Genomic DNA, 16,358 nt, shown 5'->3' with positions numbered 1-16,358 from the left:
CCATGTTTGGAAATAGGCTTGTTAGAGATGTGATTAGTCAGGATAAGGTCCTACTGGAGCAGAGTGGGCCCCTAACCCAATATGACTGGTGTCCATACAAGAAGACACAGACACACAGGAAGAACACCATATGGAGATGGAACACTGCAGAGACGCATCCACAAGCCAAGGAATGCCTGGGGCTACTAGAAGCAAAGAGAGAGGCATGGATCAGATTCTCCCCCAGAAGGAACCCACCCTGCTCTGATCTATGTTGATAAGGAGAATGGAGAACCAGGTATCCATGCAGCTCCTAAAGATAGGCTGAAGCTGGGATCTGGACCTTCAATCAAAGCCTTAGAGGGGAGATCTCAAGTTTCAGCACCACGTGTTGGCAAAATGTCCAATGCTTTACCAGCCTTACCTAAAGCTACCAGAAAGTCTTTTGGAACTGTCAACAGGGCTACAGAAACGTGAGTAAAGATCAACGGACTCCTCAAACTAAAACACCCAAATTTCTCTGCCGAAAAGATGACCAGGAAGACTGTTAAAGCAAAAAGCTCTGTTCCTTCCTCAGATAATGCCTACCCAGAAATAGAAAAATTATTTCACTTCAATCTTCTAGATTTTGAGAGTTTTAACCAACCTGAAGTGCACCAGATTGCAGGCCTCCCCTTGAGTGGAGTGCCTCTTATGATCCTTGATAAGGAGAGAGAGCTTGAAAAGCTGTTTCAGCTGGGCCCGCCTTCGCCTGTGAAGATGCCCTCTCCGCCATGGGAACCCAATCTGTTGCAGTGTCCTTCAACCCTTCTGTTGACCCTGGATGTTGAATTGCCACCTGTTTACTATGACATAAATATTTAAATTTCTTCATGCTTTAGGGTTTGTGTGTATTTGTACTAATAAAGCATTCTTTAACAGGAAAAAAAAAACTCACCCTGCTAACACCTTAATTTTGAACTTCCAGCCTCCAGAACTGTGAGACAATAAATTTCTGTTGTTTTTAAATCACGCAGTTTGGTGGACCATGTTACAGCAGCCCTAAGAAACTAATATAAAGTCAACTGAGTGGAGAAGCTGAGCACTGACACACAGTGGCAGGTCCCTCGTAAAATCTGCTCTCCTTGTCAGGAACCCGGGCACATCTAGGACAGAAAACTGGGGAAACCTAGGGTTCAATGCTAGCATACTCTTGTGTTTACTCCAGAAATGTTATTAACTTCTCTAGGCCCTTCTTCTAGGAAAACAAAGGGAAAAGGGGATCAAGCCATCAACTCAAAATCCTACAGAGACATTTATGTCAGTTTCATTGATGATTTGGGAACATAAACATTAGTTTTGAGGTGTTTAGGGGTTTTTTAACTAATTTATATGGGTCTTTTTTGTTTTTCGTGTTTTTGCTTTTTGGGGTTTTGTTTTGTTTTTTTTTGGGGGGTGTGTGTGTGTGTGGTTTTTTTTTATTGTTGTTGTTTTGTTTGTTTTTTGTTTTATTTTGTTTTTGAGACAGGGTCTCATTCTGTTGCTCAGGCTGGAGGGTAGAGGTGTGATCACAGCTCACTGCCACCTCTGCCTCCCAGGTTCAAGCAGTCCTCCTACCTCAGCCTCGCGAATAGCTGAAACCACAAACGTGCATCACCATGCCTGGCTAATTTTTTGTATTTCTTGTGATAGAGATGGGGTTTCACTAGGATGCCCAGGCTCGTCTCAAACTCCTGAGCTAAAGCAATCCACCTGCCTTGGTCTCCCAAAGTGCTGGAATTACAGGCATGAGCCACCGCACCCTACCTTATTTTTAATTTTTGTGGGTATACAGTAGGTGTATATATTTATGGGATACATGAGATGCTTTGATACAGACATGCGATGTGAAATAATCACATCATGGAGAATGGGGTCTCCATCCCTTCAAGCATTTATCCTTTGTGTTACAAACAATCCAATTACATTATTTTAGTTATTTTTAAACATACAATCAAGTTATTATTGACTATAGTCACCCTATTGTGCTATAAAATAGTAGGTCTTATTCATTCTTTCTAATTTTTTTGTACCCATTAACCATCCCCATTGTATTAGTTGTTTTCATACCACTGATAAAGACATATCCAAGACTGGGCAATTTACAAAAGAAAGGGGTTTAATGGACTTACAGTTCCATGTGGCTAAGGAGGCCTCACAATCATGGCAGAAGGCAAAAGGCACTTCTTACATGGTGGCAACGAGGCAGAATGAGAGCCAAGCAAAACGGGTCTCCCCTTATCAAACCATCAGATCTTATGAGACTTACTGTCTACCAGGAGAACGGATGGAAGAAACTGCCCCCGTGATTCAATTATCTCCCACCAGATCCCTCCCACAACACATAGAAATTATGAGAGTACAATTCAAGATGAGATTTGGGTGGGGACAGAGCCAAACCATAACACCCGTCTCCCCCACAGCCCCCCAGTGTTTGGGTTTACTATCATAAATTAGGAGATAAATCTATGATTAACCTTAAAGATAATTCATTTTATGTCTTATGTATATTAGACTTTGGGGGCTGTGGTAGGCAGCTTCTAAGGTGCCCCAATGATCCCCACCTCCTGGTATTGGAACCCTTATGTAATCCCTCCCTCTTAAGTGTGGATTGCATTTACTGCCTTGCTTCTAACAAATAGAAAACAGCAAAAGTGACAAGCTGTTACTCCTGAGATTCCATTATAAAAGGACTGTAGCTTCCATCTTGAGAGTCAGAGTCCCTCTTTCTCATGGCTCACTCCAGAGGAAGCCAGCTGCCATGCTGTGAGGTAGCCATGCAGAGAGGCCCACACAGTGAGGGACTGAAACCTGACAATGACCACATGAAGTTGTATCATCTGCCCCAAAAGAGCTTTAGATAAAACCCTGGGTCTAGCCACCAGCTTGACTGCCAGCTCACAAACGACCCTGGGCCAGAGACCTCCAGATAAGCCAGGTTCAGAATCCTGACACACAGAAACTGTGAGCTAGTACAAAGGTGCTGTTTTAAATCACTAAGCCAGGGCTGGTGGAGGGAGTCATTTGCCACACAGTACTAACGAATAGACAGATGTCATATGGGAATCTGAGTTTTTGTGGCAGGGTCGGAAATGGGTATTCTGAAGACTGGAGTTTGTATTTTCCTCTAATGACATGGAAATTAAGAGAACAGCCTGAGGGTCAGGGTCAATTTCAGCACAAGGGATGAAGCACACACTTTGGGTCTGTGTGCTTCATGGCAAACCTCCACCCCCAGGCTCTCCCGGTGCCTGCTTCCTCCCATATCCACACTCTTTCTTTTTTTTCTTTTTTAACCGAACAAATGTAGGTTTGTTATATAGGTAAAATTGTGTCATGAGGGTGTGTTGTACAGATTATTTCATCACCCAGGTACTAAGCCTAGTGCCCAATAGCTACTTTTTTTCTGCTCCTCTCCCTCCTCCCATCCTCCACCCTCCAATAGGCCCCAGTGTGTATTGTTCCCCTCCATGTGTCCATGTGTTCTCATCATTTAGCTCCCACCTACAAATGAGAACATGTATATTTGGCTTCCTGTTCCTGTGTTACTTTGCTAAAGATAATGGCCTCCAGCTCTATCCGTGTTCCTACAAAGGACATGCTCTCATTCTTCTTTTATGGCTGCACAATATTCCATGGTGTATATGTACCACTTTTTCTTTACCCAGTCCGTCACTAATGGGCATTTACATTGATTCCATGTCTTTGCTATTGTGAACAATGCTGCAGTGAACACACATATGCATGTGTCTTTATGGTAGAATAATTTCTGTTCCTCTGGGTATTCGCCCAGCAATGGGATTGCTGGGACAAATGAGAAAACAATCCTCATCCACATTCTTTCTCTACTTCCACCTTTACAAAATTGAGCGAGGTCAATCTAGCTTTCCAAATCCACTTGTAGTGGACTGAAAGGCAGTTCCCAAAAAGATACATCTTCATCCTAAACTCCAACACCTGGGAATATAACTGCAAATGATAAAAGATGTGATTAAGTTAAGGGTTTTGAAATATATGAAAAAATCCTCAACATCAGTAATCATCAGGGAACTGCAAATCAAAACCACAAAGCGATACCATCTTACTCCTGCAAGAATGGTCATAATCAAAAAAATCAAAAAATAATAGATGTTGGTGTGGATGCAGTGAACAGGCAACACTTCTCCACTGCTGGTGGGAATACAAACTAGTACAGCCGCTATGGAAAACAGTGTGGAAATTCCTTAAAGAACTAAAAGTAGAACTACCATTTGATCCAGCAATCCCACTACTGGGTACCCAGAGGAAAAGAAGTCGTTACACAAAAAAGATACCTGCACACCCATGTTCACAGCAGCACAATTCACAATTGCAAAAGTGTGGAACCAACCTAAATGCCCATCAATCAACGAGTGGATAAAGAAACTGTGGTACATATATACAATGGAATACTACTCAGCCATAAAAAGGAATGAATTAATGGCATTCACAGCAACCAGGATGGAACTGGAGACTATTATTCTAAGTGAAGGAACTCTGGAATGGAAAACCAAAATCACATGTTCTCACTCATAAGTGGGAGCTAAGCTATGAGAATGCAAAGGCATAAGAATGACACAATGGACTTTGGGGACTCAGATGGAAAAAGTGGGAAGGAGGTGAGGGATAAAAGACCATAAATAGAGGTCAGTATACACTGCTCGGATGATGAGTGCACCAAAATCTCCCAAATCACCACTACAGAACTTATTCATGTCATGAAATACCACCTGTTCCCCAAAAACCTACGGAAATAAAAGTTTTAAAAATAAAATTAATTAATTAATTTTGTAAAAAACGTTAAGGGTTTTGAAGGGAGGAGCTCATCCTGGTTACCTGAGAGGGCTCTAAGTCCAGTGGAAAAATGTCCTATGACCGTGAGGCAGTGGGAGATTCCACCCACAGCAGAGTAGACAGTGTGACCACAGAGGCAGAGATCGGAGAGCGCAGAGAGTGCGTCCAGAGGTCAAGGAAAGCCCAGAGCCACCAGAAGCTAGCAGAAAACCAGAACTGATTCTGCCCAAGAAAACCTATAAAAGAAGTTGCAGCCCTGCCAACCCCTGCCCCCCTCCCAGCCCGTTGTAACCCTAACCCTAACCCTAATCCTAACCCTAACCCTAACACTAACCCTATCCCTTCATCAGGGACCAAGCAGGGCTCAGGAATGTCCACCGTACTATACCTTGGTGTTCAGGAATGTTACGTGATCGCTCCTGTTTTTTTCCCAGCCACAAGGGCAGAGCTACCCAAGGCCATGGGAACCCACCTCTCACATCAGTGTGGCCTGAATGTGAGACATGAAATCAAAGGACATCATTTTGGAGCTTTAAGATTTGACTTCCCCGCTGGATTTTGGTCTTGCATGGGGCCTGTAGCCCCTTTGTTCTGGCCAGTTCCCCCCATTTGGAATGGGTGTATATACCCAATTCCGGTACCCCCACTGTTATCTAGGAAATAACTAACTTGCTTTTGATTTTACAGGCTCATAGGCAGAAGGGACTTGCCTTGTCTCAGATGAGACTTTGGACTATGGACTTTTGAGTTAATGTTGGAATGAGTTAAGACTTTGGGGGACTGTTGGGAAGGGATGATTGGTTTTGAAATGTGAGGACATGAAATTTGGGAGGGGCCAGGAGTGGAATGATACGGTTTTGCTCTATCCCCACCCAAATCTTGAATTGTAGCTCCCATAATTCCCACGTGTCATGGGAGAGACCCAGTAGGGGGTAACTGAATCATGGGGGTGGGCATTTCCCATGATAGTGATTTCATGATAGTGAATAAGTCTCACAAGATCTGATGGTTTTATAAAGGGGAGTTCCCCTGCACACACCCTCTCTTGCCTGCCACCACGTAAGATGTGACTTTGTTTCTCCTTCATCTTCCACCATGATTGTGAGGCCTCCCCAGCCATGTGGAACTGCGAGTCCATTAAACCTCCTTTCCTTTATAAAGTACTCAGTCTTGGGTATCTGTATTGTCAGCATGAGAACAGACTAATACACTGTCCCCTCAATGGGACCTCACCCAAGAGGCTACCTGCGAGCAGAAGGCAACCCCAGCAGAAAGAGGCTTTTTTGGTAGTACTGGGCAGAGTGTGAGAGATCAGCTGGGCATCACTCACATCAAGAATGGTGTGGGGGCCGGGCACGGTGGCTCACGCCTGTAATCCCAGCACTTTGGAAGTCTGAGGTGGGCAGATCACCTGAGGTCGGGAGTTCAAGACCAGCCTGGCCAACATGGTGAAACCCCATCTCTACTAAATTGCAAAAATTAGCCACGTGTGGTGGTGCACACCCATAATCCCAGCTTCTAGGGAGGCCTAGGCAGGAGAATTGCTTGAACCCAGAAGGCAGAAGTTGCAGTGAGCCAAAACTGCACCACTGCACTCCAGCCTGGGTGACAGAGTGAGACTCCATCTCAAAACAAAAAAAACAATGGTATGGGCAGAGTTCCTGGAGGGGGAAGCCCAGCAGTACACCCCACATGGATGACAAGAGCACAACTGAGGAGCCCTCTCCTCTTCCTTTCCTCCCTCCTCCCTTCCCAGACCCTGAAGGAGCTGAAGCAGCTGCTAGGAGTGGGAGGGGAGGTGAATCCGAGAGAGTGAGGACATTGGCCATACACCCGCTGCCCATCCCCCCAACCTTCCCCACTGCGGAAAGCCAGGCCTGGTCAGCTTGAATAGGAGAAGCTTTATATTGGATGGAAGATAAATATTTTTATTTATATAGGACTGGGTTTATTTTCTTAACCTGACAAAAGCAGTTTCCTTTTTGCCCAACATTTTATAAGAATTTTCAAACATATAGAAAAGTTGAAAGAATAGTATAATAAATACCTATATATTCACCACCTAGATTCAAAACTTGTTAACATTGTGTGTATGTGTGTATACATGGTCTTGCTAAATCACTTGAAAGCAAGCTTCAGACACCATGACTCTTCATTCTTAAATCCTTCAATGTACATCTCCTAAAAGAATCAGACTTTTAATGTCTAAAATTGAAATTGATCTAATACCTGAAAAAAATGGGTAAACTATACTTAGCTGAAACATTTTCAAGGAGGGGTGCTATGGTTTGAATGTCCCCTCCAAAACTCATGTTGAAATTTAATTGCTATTGTGATGGTATTAATAGCTGGGGGCCCGGCACAGTGGCTCACACCTGTAATCCCTGCACTTTGGGAGGCCAAGGCGGGTGGATCACCTGAGGTCAGGAGTTCAAGACAAGCCTGGCCAACATGGTGAAACCCCATCTCTACTAAAAATACAACAATTAGCTGAGTCTGGTGGCATGCGCCTGTAATCCCAGCTACTTGAGAGGCTGAGGCAGGAGAATCGCTTGAACCTGGGAGGTGGAGGTTGCAGTGAGCCAAGATCGTGCCACTGCACTCCAGCCTGGGAGATGACAGTGAAACTCCGTCTGGAAAAAAAAAAAAAAAAAACAGGTGGGAACTTGAAGATATGATTAGGTCATGAGGGCTCTGCCCTCATCAGTGGGTTAATGCTGTTATCAGAGGAGTGGGTTAGTTATCCCGGAAGCAGGCTCCTGGTAAAAGGATAAGTTCAACCCCCAGTTCTGTCTGTGTCTCACACTCTCTCACCCTCTCTCACCATGTGATGCCTGCCACTATGTTATGATGCAGCACTAAGGCCATCACTAGATGCAGTACCATGCTCTTGGACTTCCCACCCTCCAGAACCATGAGCCAAATGAATCTCTTTTTTTATTTTTTTTAAATTACCCAGTCTGTGGTATTCTGTTATAGGCAACAGAAAATGGACAAAGACAATGTGGGGAGAGAGAAGCAACAGAGCAAGTGCAAGGATGGAGGCAGAAGAAAAATAAAAACTATACCCTACTTTGCACTCTACAAAATCCAGCCCATAAAATGACCCAGTTTCACAGAGATAAGACAATTTCAGATCATGACAGGTGCTATGAAGAAAATCAAACAAGACAGAGGTGATAAGAGTATGGCTAGAAGGTAAGGCAACATTGGAGTGGCTGGTAAGAAATGAAATCCCCAGAAAAAGAAGGTGACATTTGAGATGAGACCTTGATGACAAGGATGACCTGGCAATGTAAGACAATCAGGAGAACAGCATTCAAGTCAGGGTAACCAATGAGGCCAAAGGCCTGGAGGCAAAAGGAGCATGGAGTAATATCTTGGTGAGGGAGAGGTGGCAGAAAGTACTGAGGCAGGAGAGGTGATCACAGACCAGATCCTGTTGGTCAAAAAGAGGAGTGTGGGGAGAATTTTAAGCAGGAGCGTGACTGATCTAACCTAGTTTTCTAGATGTTATGGCTGCTTAGTAGAAAAAGACTTGTTGGGAAGGGCCAAAGTGAAGCCAGGAGACCATCAAGGAGGCAGTTTGCAATCCTCCAGGTGAGAAAGTATGGTGGCTTGGACCAGGGTGGTAGCAGTGAGGTAAGCAGTATTGCTCTCCCCACTTTACAGATGAGGAAGCAGAGGCCCAGAGAAGCTAAGTGACTTGATGAAGCTCATGCAGCCCTTAGGTAGCAAGATGCTTAAAATGGTAAATTTTGTGTTATGAATATTGTATTACTTTTTATTGTAATGAAATATATACAACACAAAATTTACCATTTTAACAATTTTTAAGGGTACAATAAGTGGCATTAAGTATATTCACGATGTTGTGTGACCATGACTATTATCCATTTCCAGAAATTTTTCATTATCTCGAATAGAAACTCAGTACCCATTAAACCATAACTCCCCTTTTCCCCCTCTGTGAGCCCCTGGTAACTTCTGTTCTACTTTGTGTCTCTGAATCTACCTGTTCTATATACCTCCTATAAATGGAATCATAAAATATTTGTCCTTCTGTGCCAACTTATTTTCACTTAATGTTTTTGAGACTCATCCAGTTGTCATCGTTTCCTTCCATTTTAAGACTGAATAATATTCCATTGTATGTTATACCACATTATGCTTATCCATTCATCTGTTGATGGAGGGCCGGGACTTTTACCAAGATGTCTGATTCCAACGCTATTCTGGTTGGCTCTGTTGAGCCCTGTGCAGTACCCGCTATAGCCACCAGAGGGAGCAGAGGGAACACCAGGCGGGCGCACTGCAGGCACCGGGCGGTTTCTGGGAAGAAGAGGAACAGATGCAGCCTTTTGCACACAAAATCTTACACGCAGAAACCATGCAAATAGAGGGAAGCTGGCCGCCAGGAAAGCACCCAGACTATAGAATCGGCCACAAGTGGAAGAAAGGAGAAGGAAGGGTTAGGGCTGGAAGGAGCTGCCCCTGTGATCCTGGTCCAACCCCTAAAATGGAAACAGAGGCCTCTGGCCACCCACAGTTTCCCTGACAGCTGTCCTCAGCGTGAACAACCTCCGTGCTGAAGAGCTCAGGAGGGAGGCGGAGGGGGGCCGGTCCAGTAAGGCTCGGGTTCCCATTTCTGCCCTTCTCCAGCAGCGGCGTGACCTCCAACCTGTGGCTTGCACATTTTACGGATGAGGAAACTGGGACTTGGAGCTGTTGATTGTCCAGAGCAAGTGGAAGAGGCAAGATCTGAATGCCACCACGTGCCTTGTGATTCTCTTCTCCAAGCTCAGCGCCCTGGTTTCTTCAGCCGCATCTCATGATATGTGGTCTTTAGGACTCTTCCCCACCTCATCTGGTTGGCCAGCCTCCCTACAGGCGAAACGTACAAGGGTCTGTGGCTCTTGAGGCTGGTCTGACCACCGTGGCCTCCCTCTTCTGAGCACCCAGCCTCTAATAATGCTACCCAAGTTTGCCCTGGCTGGTTTTGGCAGCCACCTCATGTTGACTGAATTTCTGTCAGTTTCAATCCCTCGGCTTTTCTCACATGTGCTGTTGCTAAGCCATTTCTCCCCCACTGCATCCTTGTGCAGCTGGGTCTTTGGATGCGAGTCCAGGAACTGACATTTATCCCTGTCAAATTCATCTTGTTCATTCATCTGACAAACATTTGTTCAGTGCCCACGCCATACCAGGCACCAGGAATACAGGAACGAAAGACAAGGCTCCTGGCCTAAGGAGCTCACATTGGTATTCATCACAGCCGTAGCCACTAGTGAGTGAGGGGCTACTGTGTGCCAGGCATACAGCCTCTGCTGGGTGCTCTATGTAGGCTGTCTTCTTAACCCTTACAGCACTGCAGTGTCGGTGGCATTGTCCCCATTTTGCAGATGGGAAAACCAGGGCTCAAAAACTTTATGAGACTTGTCTGAAATTACATTGCCAGAAGGAAGCAGGCCCAGTATTCAACCTTCCAACTGCTTTGGATCTTGATTCTGTTCTCCTACTTAGACACCTTGTATCCCAGCTTTGGGTTCTCTGAAAACCTGATAAACTTTACTTCTCTGAATTTCATCAACAGCACTGATGAAGCTAAGATGAGATCAGAGCTCTGGGGTGGGCCACCAGTGCCCCCCTGCCCAAGATAAACAGCCATCTATGATTCTGAACACTGTTGGGTTGGCAGATACGAATGCACGCAACAGTGAACTCCTGCCCTCACCCCCAGCACCAGGTTCCCTCCCCTGACAAGCAGCTATGTATACGGTTGCTGTCATTTTTATCATCAGACTGGTCCCTGCTGCCGAGTCCTCTACATGCAGGAGCTCAGCTGTGACTGGCCCTTGCCTTCATCATGATAAAGTTTCATCTGCCAATCCCCCTCCCGAGGAGGGACATGCAAGTCCAAGGACAAGGTTGGTGGGGGAGGGGAGCAGTTGAGGGGATTTCACAGGCTCTGAGTATCTTCCCTTGCATCTGTGACTTCTGTCCCATGCCGTCTGCTCCTGGAAGCTCAGCCCATCTTTATCATTAAGCTCTTCTGCCATGCTGAGGGAGACCAACTGCAGAGCAGGCCTGTGCAAGGGCTGTGGGCAGGAAATAAGGCAGGCAGAATACATGCACTACTTGGGGGTAGGTATAAAATGGGCTCCGAGCTCCCAGCCAGGACCCAGGGGACACCATGCTTCATGACAGAATTTGGGGTTACCACCTCACAGGACGACGTGCACTCCCCTCCTCACACCCCTATGAGCTTGCAACAGTTATCATTCTGCCCATTTTTGCAGGCGAGAAAACAGGCCCAGCAAGTGTGGTCTGGGACAGAGCACTACCTCTGCTAAGAATGTTTCCTGAAAACAGATCTGGGATTTCCAGGGCCCCAAAGGACAGCAGAAAGCAGGGCCCTGCCATGGACACACCAGTGGAGATAAAAGGACTACCGATGATGGCGGTGACTCCAGAGTTTTAAAGACCCTTTGGACATTGTTGAAAACCTCTAGTCTAGCTTTTTGTGCCTGAAGAGCATCTGGGGAATATAAACTCACAAACTCCTGCCAAGGGTTCAGAGAGCAGCCAATACATCCTTCAGGAAGGCCCTGCCTTTGTGGCCTTATAGTTGAGTGGGGAGAAGGCAGATAGATAATAAGCAAGTGTATCATTTCAGACAGTGATGAGTGCTATAAAGAGTGTACGGTTGGTATAGAGAAAGCTGCTCTAGCTAGCATGGTCCAGGAAAGCCTCTCGGAGGAGGTGTGATTTGAGGAGCCAAGAAAGACCCAGCCTTGGAAACAATGAGAAAAGAGATGCTGAGTGGGAACGAGGCTCTCCACCCAAAGCATGGATGGCATAACAGGGAGGAGACCTCACAGCTCAGATAGGAGATCCCAATTGGGAAGTGGTGGTAAGGTGTCCCAGGGAGCCTGACACCTGTCCCCTCCATTCTTCCTTCATTCTCCAAAGCAATGCTCTGAGTCTTCTCCATTTCCTCCCATCTTCAAAATCCATTTCTGCACAAGGCCTAGCCCAGAGCAGGTGCTGGATGTTTGCTCGGTGAATAAACTCCTGAAGGCCAGCAAGGAGGAACTGTGAGGACGAATCAGAGGAGATCCTACCTTCGTCTGCAAGGAATCACTTGAGGGAGTTGACCCCTTTAGGGGGTTCAAGCAGAAAAGACAAAGGGATTCCAGAAGGTGGGAGGAGGGGTCGCCTACACAATTGGAAAATTTCACACAAAAGTCCAGATTTCAAGCTATTTTTAAAATATCTGAAGATCTGGCAACTGAAGCCTGCATATCCCCATGGCAACACCAGCTGGTGCTGAGCGGGCCGCTGCCCCCTTCAGACTGGACATGCGCTCTGCAACTCCCCGTGGCCCCGCGCTCCCTTTCGCTGGCACTTGGCCCACCTCACTTGGCCACATCACCTGGCCCCGTGAGTTGAGTTGGCCAACCCTGGCTTAAGACATCGGATGAACAGAAAGCCGTGCTGGGACATGGGGACAGTGGCATGTGTCCCCTCCGCCTGCTGCTAAGGAGCGTCAGCCTGGGGTCCCGCCCTCCAGTTCTTAGGCAGGTGTCTGGTGTGAGGAAGCTCCGGGATCCACATAATCCGTTCCCTGCGCTGGGTTCTTTGCCAGGTGGCGCGAGGGCTCCAAAATGCAGCCACACCCTCCTGAGGAAACAGGTGCCGTTCCGGTGCACACCAGAAGGGGGCGACTCTCCCGACCGTGCCTTCAGAGCTGCCCATGAGGACATTTCCTAGCCTTGCCCTGGCAGCTGGAGCACAGCCCTCAGAGCGTCCTGTGTCCCTGCACTGTGCCACTTAGGGTGGCAGCTGAGACCCAGGCTGCCTGGCAACATGATGGGCTTGACCAGAATTAGTTGGGCCAGGGCTGCCTCCAAGGGCCCAGGGAGGGCCTCAAGAAGCCCACCCACATGGAAGGGCTTTCGGCCCGTGCCCCAGGAGCTGGAGAACACTCCTCCTGTTCTGGCCTCTCTTCCTCCTCCTCTTCTGGGAGTGTCGGGCCTTGCTGAGGCCTGTGCCCTCAGGGCTGACCCTGTAATTAAATACTGTGTGCCCAACACTGGGCTCAGGCTTTATACACTTTTATTTAAAACCCCAACAATCCCATAGGTAGGTTTTATTCCCCGTTTTGCAGTTACAAGTGATGAAACTGAGGCTTAGGCGGGCATCACTACGCAGCTAACAAGACGTAGAGTCGAGATTCAAATTCAGGCTTGTGCAGCTGGGCACGGTGGCTCATGCCTGTAATCCCAGCACTCTGGGAGGCCAAGGCAGGTGGATCACCTGAGGTCAGGAGTTCGAGACCAGCCTGACCAACATGGAGAAACCCCCGTCTCTACTAAAAATACAAAATTAGCTGGGCATGGTGGCGCATGCCTGTAATCCTAGCTACTCGGGAGGCTGAGGCAGGAGAATCACTGGAACCTGGGAGACGGAGGTTGTGGTGAGCGGAGATTGAGCCATTGCACTCCAGCCTGGGCAACAAGAGCAAGACTCCCCCTCAAAAAAAGAAAAAAATTCAGGCCTGCAGAATCCTCATTCCCTGAACTGCCTCACTCCCATAAAGGAAACTTTAGAATCAGCCTGTGAAGGGAGAGAGAGATTGGGGTTTGAGGGCAGAGGACATCCCATGGCAGGTCAAGCCTGAAACCACCATACAGAGGCCACCAAATCTGTTAGAACCACCCAAGCACAGGGGCTGAATCTGGAGTCCCTAATAAGTCACTGACGAAGCCACGGGCTGAGAGGCCCCCAGTCAGCCACCAGAGAGGAATAGCTCCTGGCCCTTGGGAATTTACGGAATGTCTCGCCATCCCTGCCAGGGACTGCAGTCTGGGGAGCAGGACAGGGGCCCACACGTGCTGCAGAACTGCCTGGAACCACCCTGGAGAGGGTGGTGAGTGGGCAGCCAGCAGGCAGCAGCCACAGCAGGAGCAGGGGCACAAATGGCCCCATGGAAGTTTCATGATGGGTGAGAGACCCAGAATCTGCCCAAAGTAAGGCTAGGCACCACTGAGTGTGACTCGGTGAGCCCCTGGAGCCTCACGGGTCACAAGCCTCAGGAGCTTCCCCACTCCCACCCCCAGGAGGACAGAGAAGCCCAGGGGATTATCGGCCCCTCTGAGACTATCGCAGAGATGTCCCAGCCCCTGAGACCAAGGCCACCACCCTGGATGGAAGAGAAATTCTGCCCAAGCTGCTTCATCCATTTTACCTCCCATTTCCCCCCAACACACCTTACACTCACATCCCTGGGTTGGCAGGTCCCTCTCCGGTTTTATCTTTTGATCCCCACCCTCCACATCCAAGTTCAGTGTAAAGGCCACCTTCTCCAGGCAGCCCACCCTGATCCCATTCCCCAAACCTGGTCATTATTACCCTCTCCTTTGACCCCTGGAATGTATGGACTTCTCCCATGACATTGAGGTCATCTCCTTCATGCTGTGATTGTTTCTGGGTGGCTGCCTCCTCTGAGGCTGGAGGGTAGGGCAGGCACCATAGCTCCTAGAACGGGGCCTCAGATATACAAGCCCATGGCGCACATTGGATGGAGGGAGGGATGGATGGATGAATGAACGGATGGACAGATGAATGGGCAGATGGACAGACAAATGAGTGAGCAGCTAGGAGGGTTGATGGCCCACAGAAAGTTCCATGAGGCCACCTGGAATTGTCCAGAATGCCCAGACTCACCTACTGCTTCTGAAGATAAGACTTGTCATAGCTCCTCCCCTGCCTGAGTGAATTTAAGACTTCAAAGAGTGTCCACTGTGTGGAGGTGCCAGGGAAGCGGGGAATCAGGCCAGTGCTGCTCCCCTCCCTGCACCTCAGTTTCCCATAGATAAGATGAGAATGTCGGACTAGATGATTTCATAGGCCCTTCCAGCTCAAAACACAGGTCCATGCCAGGACCCAGCAGAGAACAGGGGAGACTGAACCCAGGTCAGCTTAAAGGAGCCCCTGGAAGAGTTCAGAGAAAAGATGAAAAGAGAGAAGGTGGGAGGAGGAAGGGTGGGAGTGGGGAGAGAGGGAAGGAGAAAAAGAGAAAGAAAATCTATTTCCATATCCCAAATTAAAAATGCATCTAGCATGTAAGATTTCCCAAATTTATAGTGTCTTTAAAAAAAAAAAGTTAATTTGAACATATTGAATTTAGGATCACAGCATGTAAAAAGTGATAGATCCCCCAATAAGGTGGATTTGACTTGGGGAGGGACTGCCTGGGGCAGAGAATCCCAAAGGGAAGGATGAAGCGTGTGGGATGGGAGAGGAAGGGTGACGGAGGGAGAGGTAGGGTGACGGAGGGAGAGGTAGCGTGACGGAGGCAGGGCTCTTCTGGTCACTTTCTCTCCCACTTTAGCTGAAGCATCCCCCCACACCCACAGTCCCCACTTTAGCCAGAGCACCTCTATTGTCTGCTTTATACATTGATCTTATGAACCCAATATATTGTTTGAATAAAAGGTTTCTGGTGCTTTTTTTTAAAAAGCCACTTAACTAATGAAGAGAAACAAGAGGCACAGAGAGAGTGATTTGTCCAAGGTCATATAACAAGTGCATCACACAATTCCTGATATCACTAATCCAATCACATCCATTAGGGGTTGGGGGGCGCTGCCCGGATGCAGCTGCCCCTGGCTGGGCAGTTCAGATATGTATACTCTGGCTTAACTCCAGCAGCCTCAGCGGGGAGTCACCAGGCTCCTTTAAACAACATTCCACTAGGACAGGAACAGATGGATAACCCAAGCCAATTAGGAACCAGAAAATCTCCAAGAGGCCAAATGCCCAGAACAGGGGGAGCTCAGGGCGGCAGCCCAGCTCACTGCAAGCCTCACAGTCGAAAATCTTCCTAAAACAACCCCTTGGCTGCCTTGGAGCATAATTTAATCTTCCTTTGATGACTCCAGATCTCGCCCTGCCTCAGGCCACTCTGAGAACATCAATAACTGCTGGGCCCAGGTGGGAAGCCGAGGGGCAGGGCTGGACCCAGGTTGACCAGCTGACCCTGCCCTGCGGTAGGAGGGAAGCTCAGTCTGGACCCTGGGGGCTGGATACTGCCTTGGTGGAGAGGGGGGCCCAGGAGGAGAATGGAAAGCCCTCCCCAACCAAGAAGGGGAGCCCTAAAGGGGCCCCTCCCTAGCCCCTAGAGCAGGTGGGAAGGGGCAGCTCCCAGGGGTTTCTGGAGGTAGGAACAGAGAGGTAAAGGCAGGCAGGAGTGATGTTGAAGACCAGCCTAGGTGACTTTTTTTTTTTTTTTTTTGAGACGTAGTCTTGCTCTGTCACCGAGGCTGGAGTGCAGTGGCACGATCTTGGCTCACTGCAACCTCTGCCTCCTGGGTTCCAGTGATTCTCCTGCCTCAGCTTCCCAAGTAGCTGGGACTATAGGCGCGTGCCACATGCCTGGCTAATTTTTGTATTTTTAGTAGAGATGGGGTTTCACCATATTGGCCAGGCTGGTCTGGAACTCCTGACCTCGTGACCCACCCACCTTGGCCTCCCAGACTGCTGGG

General features: G+C 48.0%; 1 pseudogene, besides 3 other annotated features; it reads left to right on the top strand.

Annotated features, from left to right (window-relative positions):
- Positions 239 to 900, top strand: PTTG1P2 (PTTG1 pseudogene 2; annotated as a pseudogene).
- Positions 12,485 to 13,066: an enhancer, noted in NCBI's record as "H3K27ac-H3K4me1 hESC enhancer chr11:62787753-62788334 (GRCh37/hg19 assembly coordinates)". NCBI's record gives its function as "activates a minimal SCP1, AML or CMV promoter by ChIP-STARR-seq in naive H9 embryonic stem cells {active_cell/tissue: H9 hESC(naive)}" and the evidence as "EXISTENCE:reporter gene assay evidence [ECO:0000049][PMID:30033119]".
- Positions 12,533 to 12,719: a silencer, noted in NCBI's record as "fragment chr11:62788100-62788286 (GRCh37/hg19 assembly coordinates)". NCBI's record gives its function as "represses an EF-1alpha promoter that drives an FKBP-Casp9 reporter gene in an ReSE screen in phorbol 12-myristate 13-acetate-treated (for megakaryocytic differentiation) K562 erythroleukemia cells {active_cell/tissue: K562(+PMA)}" and the evidence as "EXISTENCE:reporter gene assay evidence [ECO:0000049][PMID:32094911]".
- Positions 15,457 to 15,956: an enhancer, noted in NCBI's record as "H3K4me1 hESC enhancer chr11:62784863-62785362 (GRCh37/hg19 assembly coordinates)". NCBI's record gives its function as "activates a minimal SCP1, AML or CMV promoter by ChIP-STARR-seq in naive H9 embryonic stem cells {active_cell/tissue: H9 hESC(naive)}" and the evidence as "EXISTENCE:reporter gene assay evidence [ECO:0000049][PMID:30033119]".

The sequence above is a fragment of the Homo sapiens genome, chromosome 11 (assembly GCF_000001405.40).
Source record: "Homo sapiens chromosome 11, GRCh38.p14 Primary Assembly".
NCBI classification, from domain to species: Eukaryota; Metazoa; Chordata; class Mammalia; order Primates; family Hominidae; genus Homo; species Homo sapiens.
Note: the sequence above shows the minus strand (reverse complement) of the source record. Positions and strands in the feature narration are given on the sequence as shown.